Source organism: Homo sapiens, chromosome 2 (genome assembly GCF_000001405.40).
Source record: "Homo sapiens chromosome 2, GRCh38.p14 Primary Assembly".
In the NCBI taxonomy this organism is placed as follows: Eukaryota; Metazoa; Chordata; class Mammalia; order Primates; family Hominidae; genus Homo; species Homo sapiens.
The window spans coordinates 181,122,393-181,135,782 of NC_000002.12; the positions used below are offsets into that span (position 1 = coordinate 181,122,393).

Below are 13,390 nucleotides of genomic sequence, written 5' to 3' on the forward strand. Positions count from 1 at the left end.
TCTGAATATTTGCCATTGTGAAAATATGCAATATCTATGTATTTTTCAGACATGAGCCAAAGTATTGAAGTGCTTCATACTTAATTGTTCTTCAAAGTGTTCAATCTTTAACCAAAATATTTCTCAAGAAGTATTTCATGGATATACTTGTTATTTATTTTTGTTCTCTGAAAGAAATGCCTCCTGATGTTAAAAATCATTTTGCTAATATCTCAGTCTTATTCCTTTTTAGAGTCCTCTACACTCTATCAATATAGAACTAGCTACAGTTACCAGAAAGTGCTATATTGTTTTGTGCCTCTGGATCTTTGAATATGCTAGACTCCCAGCTGGGAATGCACTTCCTTGCATGAAAAATGACCACACAATATTCTTTACCACAGTTCAAGAATCAACTCCTTTGATCAGCTCTTTTACGCTAATTAGAATGCCCGTTTCCCCACTTGAGGCCCAATGTATTCTATATAAATTCCTATTGTTGTAATTCTCACATAATATTCATAATTATTTGTCCAGTTTTCTTTTCCCATCTTGTGATTTCCCATAAAATCATAAGATTTTATGAACTTATTGAGGACAGAGATTATGTCTTATTTGTGGTTATATCCTCAGGGCACAAAAAAGAGAAACTCAATATATGTTCAGTAAATTCATTGAATGAATAAATGAATCAATGAACAAACAAGCAAATGCCATATGCATGCATATATTCAACTCCTAGGAACACATTTTACTGGTATTTTATATCTTATATTTATTTATAATATATAAATATTTTATATATTATATATAAATAAATACAAATATTTATTTATATATAATATATAATATAATATATTTATTTATATATAATATATAATTTATAATTATATAAATATATAATATATTTATATATAATATATAATTTTATTATATATTAATTATATATATAATAAATATATATAATATATAATTTTATTATATATTAATTATATATATAATAAATATATATAATATATAATAATATTATATACATTATATATAAATATAAATATTTATATAATATATAATATAATATATTTATTTATATATAAATATATAATATATAATTATATAAATATATAATATATTTATATATAACATATAATATAATATAATAAATATATAAATAAATATAAGATAATAAATATAAGATAAGACCCTTTTCTGAAGATACTTCTAAGAAGTATCAGCAATACATTCTATGGGATGCGTATAATGGTTCCTGGATAATATAAAGAAAGAAGGCTTTCCTTTCTCAAAAAGGCAGTCTGTTATAAAAGTCTTTGTAAGTTGAAAACATTTTTTTTGAAAAGCAGAACCCTGTAGTTAAAGAAAATTCAGCAGCCTAAATTCTTTACTACATGTGTGGGTATAGTGAAAACATTTAGCTATCTGATATTACACTATCGTTGACTTCTCAGTTTTAGTATTCAGAGAATGACCTGAACTTAGCTGTGTTAAGTTGCCTGCTCCACAGGAAACCACCTCTGTAACTGTTGCTTGCTGCTTTCTCTTTAGGCAACACCCAAAGCCACTGTCAGATGTCATGGAGATGAGACCTCACAAGGTAAGTGCAAAGAAAACAGGAACAAATACATTTTCAAACAGAACTTGGTGAAAACATTGGCCCAAGAATGATAGGAAGCACCGCCTTTTGGGGATCCCTATTTGGGCTGTGGAAGGGACATATAGCCCTGTTTTATATGGAATCATATATGGTGTGAGGGAAATGAGTCAGATCCTGGGTTCCCAAGTGGCCTATCTGAGACAGAAGCAGGTTATGTTGTCTAGACAAAAGGAAATGCTTTGTTTTTTGAGGGAATGTTATCAGAATTTTAAAAGCCAAATGATGGCTAGAGAATATAACTAAAATTTTATTGACACTTTGTTTTTTAGAAGGCTTTTTCCCTCTTTCTTTTTGTTTCATTCTAACAGTCTATCTTTTTGCCCAAGATGCAAATTGAAACTTAATTAAATCCATGATTCCAAAGAGATATAGGCCTTATTACACAGCAGGCATTCTCTGGCTTTTCTTCACATCTGGAGTTTTAAACTTTGGGGTATTAATATCATGTCTAAGATTTCTTGTAGTCTTGGTTTGCTAAATAGAGGATACATGGCTATTTTAAATGAGGGTTTCATAATCACCCAAAAATGCTACAAATTTCAACGTGAAATAGCTTTTTCCTACATTGTAAATATTAGATGATTAAGCATTCCTTATGCCTTTTGCATGAAAAGGCAACATAGACTTTATTAGATATCTGCGGTTCTCATTCTTTGAGTATTTGCCTCCCTATTGACCTTCAGGCCTTTTGTGCTTCTTTAAAGCCGTTTCCATCCCCCCTACTTCCTCCTTCACAGAATGTAAGATGTCAGTGGAAGAAGATGAAACCAGAGGTTTTAAGAAAAGATTGGACAATAATAACTAAAACAAGTTCCTTTAGCTTTTATTTTTACCCATTTTATGTATTTTTATTGATATAAATTGCTTTATTATGATTATAGTTGAAAGTCAACATTTTGGCATATTAAAAAGACCATTTCCTTCCAACCTAGAAAATTCTATCTCATGATGATACATGTTAGGCCTCTTAGCAACTTATTCTGTCCTATAGCTGTGTGTGGCCACTGCCAATTTGTAGTCCCCAGTTCTAGTCCTGTCAACTATTTCTCCAGAGGTAACTGGACCAGAGATTATACCAGAATTTTATTTTATTTTTCTCAGATGGAGATTTTTTTTCACTGTGAAACTGTCTGGTTTCCCACTGATGGGTCTAATATACAGAGCTTTCTGGGTTTGACAGATGTGATAAACTAACAAGAATATTTGCATTTGTGTAGCTTTTATATACAGATATTTCACTCTCCTAATACTTTTTCAAGTTATAGATAAATGTTTTTTAAAAGCAAACTGAAACGGCTGACAAACAGCTGCTGCATAGACTTTGGAACCTGGCTGCCTATGTTTGTAGACTGCTCATAGAAATGTGAGTTCTGATAGCCTTTTTGGAGATGAATCTAGCAATATATGTGGATATTTATTGTGGCATTTGCTGAAGTTCCTTCTATAGCCTACCAGGCACTGCATCACCTGGACCTTGGGCAAGATATATGTCTGGTCCCTTTTCCTGCCCTTCTGTCACTCTGCATTTACTGTAGTGGCATTCACAAGTGTTCCCAGTCTCGCTGAGTATCTCTCCCTCAGAACTCGGGTGCTTGCTGCTTGCTGTTCCTTCTGACTGGATTGCTCCTCTCTTAACAGGCCTCATGGCTTACTCCCTCAAGTCATTCAGGTTTCTGATCAAATACCTCCTCAGAGAGCTCTTCCCTGGCTACCCCATTTAAAGTAATAAGAAATTTCCTGTAACTTTGTATCCCCTTGTTTAGCTTCATAAAAATATAACATTATGTTACATATTAAATTAGTGCCTGTCCCCTCCACTAGAATGGATTCTTTAGGAAAGTGGGAACTTTGTTTTGTTCATTGCTCTATTCCTGGAGTTGAACAGGCGCATAGAGTGTATTAAGACTTGTTGCATGAATAATTTGTGGTAGCAAATGAACGAAAAGATAAAGCAAATAGAATATCCTTTGGTAAGAGAATGGTTAGATAAATTGTGGCATATCAATAATATGATGAAGTCATCAAGAAGAATAGAATTAGATCAATGTCATCCAGGGAGTTTCAAAGTTTATTATTAAGGAAGAAGTGGAGGTGCAGAAAAGTTTGTATAATAGGACCCTGAGCAGTGATCTACATATATATGTATCTATCCATCTATTTAATCTATCTATCATCACATAAGAATGATTCATATAGTAGGATATTCACCAGGTCATAAGCATTAGCTTTGTAGGGAAATTGTGCAGTGTGATTTTGTTGAACAGGGTATGGAAACGGAGACTAGAGGGCTCAAAGTTGGCTGAAATATGTAAAATGATTGCCAATTTGGGATACAGCTTCACTTGCTTTTGCTAAATACACTTCAGAGCAACTTCAGTCATATCTTTCTCCCCTTGCCACCCACACTGTGACTTAGTGTCAAACTCTGACCCATGGTTGCTGTCTTGGCCTCCCTTAATTACTCTCCTTCGGAATTCCGTGTTGGTGCTCAGTGCTTCCATGCTGAAGTACAAGTTCCAGGCAGTCAACTTGTCTTGTCTTTGACTACTACTTAGAACCTCTTTGCATTCCTTGAAAAAAGGCATTTGTCTCTTACTGATGTGTTTTGCTCGTGTTTCTCATGCAATGAGTCCTTGATGTTCTTACAGCTGTTGCTGATCACTTTTTGGGGGGTTTTGAGGAAAAACTATGAAATTGATTCTAGACAATTTAGGCTTTTGTGGTTCACTGGGGCCCATAAAACTACTGAGCTGGGGAAGTGTGATTGGGAGAATAATGATATTTATTCAACGATAATGTGCTTCACATACATAAAGAGAACTCTGCACAGCCCCCGATAGAAAGTTACGGAAACATTCTCAAGTTAGAAACAGTAAATGTTTTGAAAATAAAGTGGCACTGTCTTAGAAATGCAAGAAGGCAGAAGCAAAATATTAGATTTGATAATTAAGAATATAATTAATGATGAGAAACCCCATATTTTAGAGTAAGACTATATCCCATTTATCATGGCTTTCAGTCATTTGAAAATTTATGTTCGTTAGTTTGATTGTATTTTCCACCAGCTCTAAGGAGGAGCTGGAAGGGTGTGTACTTTTTTCATTAACATTGGATTGCAATATTCAGGCACCTATCTGTTCTTACTTTAAACAGAATAATTTAGGAATGTTAGTTCTAAACTCAAGCTGAGACAAGATAAAGATTTTGTAGTGATTTTCATTTGAGAAGATACAAAAGTTTTGCTAATTCACAAGTGTGTTACTTATATCCTTATAGGGTTTCCAGCTTATTACTGTTTTAAAGATGAACATCAATGGTATTACTTGTGAAGAACATTAACGATTATTCTAGTACAATAAGAAACTAGATCAGGCCAGGCGCAGTGGCTCACACCTGTAATCCCAGCACTTTTGGAGGCCGAGGCAGGTGGATCACCTGAGGTCAGGAGTTCAAGACTAGCCTGACCAACATGGAGAAACCCCGTCTTTACTAAAAATACAAAAAAATTAGCCGGGGTGGTGGCGTGTGCCCGTAATCCCAGCTACTCGGGAGGCTGAGGCAGGAGAATTGCTTAAACCCAGGAGACGGAGGTTGCGGTGAGCCAAGATCACAGCATTGCCCTCCAGCCTGGGCAACAACTGTGAAACTCCATCTCAAAAAAAAAAAAAAAGAAAGAAATTAGATCACTTCATGTCATAAGCCATTAGAAAATTAGTTTAAAAAGTAATTTTTCTGAGTGAGGAAAAAAAATATGTTTAAGCCATGCTGTTGGGCAAAAAAATCTGAAGAGTATTTTTCTGAGCTTTTCCTTGAGCAGTTTCTTCCATCAACATATTTATAAAACCAAATTCTTTTCTTTTCTCAAATATATATAATGTGAAAAGAAGTCGGGAGTGATGGACTAATGCGATGTAGCAATTCTAACTTTCTCACATGCATGCTTAAAAATCATGAAACAGCAACAAATTGTAGCAGTTTGTAATTGTTTGCTATTGTGTTAAATGCTGGACAGTGACAATCACTTGTTTAGGATAGAAGTCTTTTGATTATGTGAACCTGAACCAGCAGAACTCAAAGGAAACATGAAAATAAAGAAGTACAAATACTCCTTTTGCATAAAGAGCAGTCCACCAGACTCATGATGAGCTTTCTCCTTTTGTTCCTTTAAGTTAACTCTTCTGCAAAATGTTTTTTGTTTGTGTATGTTTTGCAGTGTCCTTTTCAAAATTAATGAGCTAGACTTCTTGAATCATAAAACTATTCTGAAAGCCCACATTATTAGAACCATGGGGGAAGTTTGCATCTGTTGATTAGCTGAGAAGCTTGCTTTCACTATTAATATGCAACAGTAATTTCAGTTATGTTCTGATAAAAGTAAGTATAGATATTAGACAGCAACTCAAAAACTTTTGACAAGACAGGTTTCTACAGAGAGGAATCTCTAGTACTCCAGGGTTTTGCTTAGTAGTAAAGTTTAACATCTTTACCCTTTTTAAACTCTTGAAACCTAAAACTCAACTAGATAATGTACTTCAATCTTATTAGTCATAAAAAATGTACTAACTACAATGGCCTTTCCTCATGGACATCTAAGGTTACCCCACAAGAAACTTCAGAGTAATTGAAATCAAGGTCTTAGCAGGCTCTTCTCTGTATTTTAAATGTGTCCGCCAAGCAGTATGCTCAGGGGCTTGTTAATGGACAGTTGTTGGCTTGTTAATGGACAGTTGTTTAAGATCATGTATACATATGTAACAAACCTGCACGTTGTGCACATGTACCCTAAAACTTAAAGTATAATAATAATAAAAAAGAAAATATGGCACATATACACCATGGAATACTATGCAGCCATAAAAATGGATGAGTTCATGTCCTTTGTAGGGACATGGATGAAGCTGGAAACCATCATTCTCAGCAAACTATCACAAGGACAGAAAACCAAACACCACATGTTCTCACTCATAAGTGGGAGTTGAACAATGAGAAAACATGGACACAGGATGAGGAACATCACACACTGGAGCCTGTTGGGGGGTGGGGGGCTGGGAGAGGGATAGCGTTAGGAGAAATACCTAATGTAAATGATGAGTTGATGGGTGCAGCAAACCAACATGGCACATGTATACCTATGTAACAAACCTGCACATGTACCCTAGAACTTAAAGTATAATAATAAAAATAAAAAAATTTAAAAAGATAATGTTCTTTATAAATGTCATTGACCTACCTACCCTATACTTGTAGTCTCTCCACTAAGATTTATAATTTTCTGTTCTCATGTTAAAACAGAATGCATATAATTTATTTCTAGTAAAGCTCCATCAAATAATACAAAATACAATGTCTTTATTTCTTAAATGTACATATGTACTGACTGAGAGTGGCAGGAGGCAGCCAAATGCCTAGGCAGATAGGGCTGTGTTTTTGGTTAAACCCCACCTCCAAGTCAAAGACAGTTTAAAGCCTGATAGCCAAGCTACAAATTAAATCCTTGGACCAGGTTGAGAACACCTCTTCCTGTTTGGCACATTCCTCTGATTCATCCCCCCAATCACCTATTTTACATATACCTACCCTTTCCTAATTGGTTTTCTACACTGTCCTGCCCACCTTTGAGTGGTATTTTCACTTTAACCTTTTTTGCATACTCACAAACCAATTAGTATGCATTCCCCATTCTCAACCCATAAAAGGCCTTGGACCAAGTCACACAAGGAAATTTCCTGCCTTTGGGTAGGAGGGCCACCCCCACATCCCCTCTCCACTGAAAGCTGTTTCATTGCTCAATAAAATTCTTCTCTGTCCTCCTCACTCTTCGGTGTCCAGCATATCCTCATTTTCCTGGGTGCAGTACAAGAGCTGGGGAACCACCGAATGTGGGTACAAACTATAACACAAGTGAGCTGGGACACACCAGCATGGCCTAGTGGGATCTGGGCAGGGTGTCGCCAGCCAGAGGTCCCGGCTTGCAAAGTGACTAAGAAGAAAAATCCTACATCATAATGTTATCTGTTACTGTATAAATAAGAAGAAATGCTGAGAGAGGAATAGTTATAAAAATAATTTTTATTTAGAGAGCTTGATAAATGTTTTCACAGGATTCAGATGTAAAAATGATCACAGAACTCAAGAAAAGCAGGCATGCTATGGAAAACATAATGAACAGTATACTAATGTTTTCATACATGAATATGGAAATCTTTAAAATAAGCATATTTTAAATTTTATAATTTAAAATTTATTATGTGTAGCAAAATTTCTAATATTTCATTTTATGATCCACACATTAGTTATCTCATATAAAAAATTAACTTGAATATTTTTAAATTTATATATTATCTATTAACCCCATTCTCTTTTGTATTCTTTCTCTCTGTCCTTATCTCTGTCTCTTTCTCCATAAGCACACACATAGTTTTTTAAATCAAATGCAAACATGTAATATATTGATAGAAATGTAAAAATTGAGGTTTATATGAAATTTCAGATTATGACAGATATAAGCACTAAAATTTTGTTTAGAAAATGCAAAGAAAATATTTCTCAGAAATAAAAACAATGATTACTTGGTGCAGGCTAATTTTAGTGACTATATATAATAACCAATAGATGCAAATTTTACATGCTTTATTGATCATAAACTGCGATTTAGATGAAAAAATTGTTCAGTGAATAATTATATTAAAAATTTAGATAAATTTGTTATTGTTGCTTTGTGAAAATAAGACATGTTCTTCCATTAGGAATAAAGCTTTTCCAAAACCTCTGGGTTCCTTAACCACTAAGATGGACCTCATTATAGGAATATCTCGGACCTTGTCCAAGAGATTTCATAACTCAGCGTCAGCACTTTAAGTCTGTTTCATCTACAACAGTGAAGCATCACAAATACTACAAACAGAGCTTCTCTAAGTTTCAGCATAGTGCAGTATGCTCTGGTTGCAAATTTCACCTTAATTTACTTTTGTTTACTTTCAGCTAAAGAGCATGTTCAATATAAGATTAATGTAAAATGAGTCCCAGCTGCAGGCAAAGTGAGTTCATACCTTTTCCTTTATTTTGCTCTCCAATGCCTTTACTCACAGCTTTTATATAGTAGCCACTGTCTGACAACTACCAGTTTGTATATTTGTTTGTTTTTCTGAAAACTACCCCTCAAGTAAATTTGTCAAAAATTGGAATGAACTGTCTGATTGTCATTTTGTTTAGTAAGTTTTATTTTTTGCTAACAGACTTGTTTATTGTTGAATAGATATGACTTCTAAGCTGTTAACAGTTACATATTTTGTTGAACTGAGTCTTCCAAGTCCAGTTGGAGTTAGCCAAGAAACTGAGGTAGGCAAGGGTGCTTTGGCTCCAAGAGGGAAAATAGTCTTTATTTCATGAAAATACAAATAATTAAGGAAGGAGGTGGGAGCTAAAAATATGTATGGAGATAAGACTATCCAGGAAGAAGTTAAGAGAAGAAAAGGAGTAGAAAATGAAACCATGAAAATTCACAATTTAAACTGAGAAGAAAAACTCAGAAACTGAAAAGAGATAGTCTGCAAAGTAAGATGAGGTAACATTTCAGATGACCAAAAAAAGGGGAATTGTGAAAAGAATGGAGCCATCCTCAGCATCCATTGTTGCAGCAAGCTCAAGTAGCTGGAGAACAGAAGAGGGTTTAGGGATGCTAACCACTGAGAACTCATGGTGGCCTTTTAGAGAGCAGTCTTAGAAGACTGACGTGGCTGCAAGGAATGGGATGTGGAGCCAGTGAGCATAGTGACTCTTCGAAGTATTGGCAGAAAAGCTGAAAGAGACAGAGTGCATATTCTGAGCAGGAAGGAAGATTGAGGCAAGAGATGCATTTGATTTTTTGGTTTTTGAAAACAGAATTCCATTTCTGATATAAATACATGGATTTAATCTGAAATGTTTCTGTATTATTTAGAAGGTTTCAGGGCTATAGCTTTAAGATGACATAATAGAAATAAACAGACAAAATTAATTTAGCCACTTGAAAGAATTTACACTAAGCTTAAATTGTACTCACTTTTAAACTCTCACAAGGTTAATTTAGGATATACTGGCACATGTTTAATAAATAATAATTAAAATGACAAATTTCCACATCTTTATTTCTGTGAATATTTAATATTTTATGTTCTATTGATGACATATGCCATCTATAATGCTGTTAGTTTAACGTTGAGTTAGAACCCATTGTATCTTCAGAATATGCTAGCATATTTCATAGAAATCCAAGAAATATTTTCACTATTATAGAGAATTTTGAATGGAACTTTTATAAATACTAACACTGGGGGGGGGGGAAGGACATCTCCTATAAATTTGAATCAATAATAATTGTAAATATACTGAACTTATGAATAGAAACAAGTATGAAAATTCACAAAAATAGTCAAGTTACAAACTATTGTGAATGGATCTGTAGACCTACTGGTTCAGCCTGTAGTAAACAAAATTATTAGATGCTTCACTTGATATTGTATTTGAACAACCTAAAAAAAAAAACGGAACAGTTTGCTATGACCCGCTTCATCCTAAACTTCTACATTTTGGTGTTCTCTTAAGGCAGTATCCTAGGTCACCTGTCTTTTCTGACTAATCTGTCCTAGGTGATTTCATTCATTCCCAGGATTTGAAGTACCATCTATACATTGATGACTACCAAATTTATATTTCTAGCAAACCCCTCTTCTCTAAACTTACGTATCAACTTCCTCCTCCTTCCTATCCACCACCTCCTCCTGTTCTGCTTCCTCCTGCTTCTCTGCCTTCTTTTCCTTCTAACAGCTTAACTGAAGAGTCATTGACATATAATAAACTGCACATATTTAAAGTGTACAACTTGGTAAGTTTTGACATATGTATTCACCCATAAAACCATCACTACAAACAAAAGAGTGAACATAATGATCACCCCATAAGTTTCCCCATGGCTTTTGTAATTCCTCCCATTCCCCTGCCCCCTCATGAGTCCCTAGGCATCCAAAAATCTGCTTTCCGTATACACTAGTTTACATATTCTAGAATTTTATAAAAATGGAATAATTTGATAAATGAATGAAATATTTTCATAGTATTTTGAAGGTTTCAAGGCTATCTATAGCTTTAATATTACAAACTACAAAATACAAAGATAGAATATTAAACAGCCATTTGAAATAGTATTTTAATCATTCTGTTTATGGCTTTTTTTATTCAACCCAATTATTCTGAGATTCATCCATGTTGTCGCATGTGTTGTTGAATGTAATTCATTCGTTTTTACTGCTAAGTAGTAATATCTTATTGTATGACTACACCACACAATTCGTTTACTCATTCATCTGTTGGTGGGCATTTGAGTTGTTTCCAGTTTGGGGCTATTACAAATAAAGCTGCTATGAACATTTGCATACAAGCCTTTGTATGGACATATGTTTTGATTTCTCTGGGGTAAATACCTAGAACTGGAATGGCTGGATCATATGGTAGGTGTATGTTTACATTTTTAGGAAGCTGTCAAACTGTTTTTTAATATGGTTGTAGTGTTTTTTCATTCTCACTACCAGTTTATGAAATCTCTAGCTGTCCTCCATCCTTGCAACACTTGGTATGGTCAGTACTGTAATTTTAATTCTAATAAGTGTGTACTGTTAGTGTTCTGGTTTTAATTTATATATCCCTAATAACAAATGATGTTGAGTATCTTACCTGTGCTTATTTGCTATCTGTATTCATTTTTGGAGAAGTATTTGCTCAAATCATCTCCCTGTTTTTAAATTGGGTTGGTTGTTTCCTAATATTGAGTTTTGAGAATATGTAATATAGTTTTTTTGGGGAGATACAAGTTCTTTGGCAGATATATACTTTGTAAATATTTTCTTCCAGTCTGTGGCCTGTTCGTTTATTTGCTTAACCGTGTCTTTAAAAGAGCAGGCATATTCAATTTTGCTGAAGTACAATTTACCAATTTTCTGTTTGCTGTATCATGCTTTGGTGTAATATTTAAAAATTGTTTGTCTAAACCAGGGTCAAAAAGATTTTCTCTATATTTTCTTACAGAAGTTTTATAGTTTTATGCTCTGCATTTAGGCCTACAATCCATTTTAAATTAATTTTCATGTATGGTATGAGGTATAGATCAGTTTATTTTCCCACATATGGATATATAATTGTTCCAAAACCATTTTTTGAAAAACTATTCTTTCTCAATTGAATTGCCTTTTGACCTTTGCCAAAACAGCAGTTGTCTATGTATATGTAGGCCTATTTCTGTACACTCTGTTCTATTCCATTTATCTATTTGGGTATTTTGATGTCAAAACTATGCTGCTTTGATTACTATAAATTATATCCATCTTGAAATTAGGTAGTATTAGTGTTCCAACTATTTTCTTTTTTGAATTTTTTTTTTTTTTTTTTTTTTTTGAGATGGAGTCTCGCTCTGTAGCCCAGGCTGGAGTGCAGTGGTGCGATCTCAGCTCACTGCAAGCTTCGCCTCCTGGGTTCATGCCATTCTCCGGCCTCAGTCTCCCGAGTGGCTGGGACTACAGGCGCCCCGGCTAATTTTTTTTGTATTTATAGTAGAGATGGTGTTTCACCGTGTTAGCCAGGGTGGTCTCGATCTCCTGACCTCGTGATCTGCCTGCCTCAGCCTCCCACGCCTGGGATTACAAGCGTGAGCCATTGCGCCTGGCCTTGGAAGTTGTTTTGACTTGTCTATGTCTTCGCATTTTAGATGAATTTTGTATCTCAGAGAAACTCTATTTTTCAATTATCTTTATTTCAGTTTTTCATTTTGATAGTTTCTAATGCCATGTCTTCAGGCACACTAAATCTTTTTTTCTGTGATGACTAATCTGCTATTCATACATTTCATTGTATTTTTTATCCCGGACATTGTATTGTTTATTTCTAGAAGTTTTTTTTTTTTTAATATATCTTCTTCTATGTCTCTACTTGAATTTTTTAAAATATGGAAAATATCCTTGTCTGCTAATTGTAACATTTGTATCATTTCTGGATTGGTTTCAGTTGATTCATTTTAATTCTTTCTTTTTTCAAAATTTAATACTTAGAATAGGTCATATTTTCCTACTTCTTTCCATGACTGGTTTTTTTTTTTGAGACAAGGTCTTACTCTGTCACCCAGGCTGGAGTGCAATGGCACATCATGGTGCACTGCAGCCTTAACTCCCTGGGTTCAAATTGCACTCCTACCACAGCCTCCAGAGTAGCTGGGACTACAGGCATGCGTCACCAAGCTTAACTAATTTTTTTTTTTTTTAATTTTTTTTAGGGCAGGATCTTACTTTGTTTCCCAAGCTCTGGTAATGTTTGATTGGCTGCTAGGCACTGTGAATTTTACCTTGTTGGGTGCTGGTATTTTTGTATTCCTATATATATATTACTGAACTTTGTTCTAGGGTATAGTTCAGTTACTTAGAAATAACTTGATCCCTTCATATATTACCTTAAAGATTTATCCTCAATGAAATATTAGCAAACTGTATTTAACAGCACATGAAATAGATCACTCGCCATGATCAAGTGGGATTCATCCCAAAGATGCAAGGATGGTTCAATAGATGCAAAATAATAAATATAAGATATCGTGTCAACAGAATCAAGGACAAAAACTATCTGATCATTTTAATAAACGCTGAAAAAGCATTCAGTGAAATTTAATATCCCTTCGTGATAAAAACTTTCAACAAATTTTGTGTGGAAGGATCATACCTCAAA

General features: G+C 34.3%; 1 long non-coding RNA gene across 1 annotated transcript in view, besides 1 other annotated feature; it reads left to right on the top strand.

Annotated features, from left to right (window-relative positions):
• Positions 1–1,444: 1,444 nt before the first annotated feature.
• The window catches only part of LINC01934 (long intergenic non-protein coding RNA 1934), a 275,717-nt gene continuing 263,771 nt past the window's right edge, over positions 1,445–13,390 (top strand). The window contains exon 1 of the long non-coding RNA NR_130784.1: positions 1,445–1,588. This is a non-coding gene — a long non-coding RNA (long intergenic non-protein coding RNA 1934). The remainder of the gene's footprint in view (positions 1,589–13,390) is intronic.
• Positions 1,712–1,811: an enhancer, noted in NCBI's record as "active region_16823". NCBI's record gives its function as "activates an Ori minimal core promoter by ATAC-STARR-seq in GM12878 lymphoblastoid cells {active_cell/tissue: GM12878}" and the evidence as "EXISTENCE:reporter gene assay evidence [ECO:0000049][PMID:35858748]".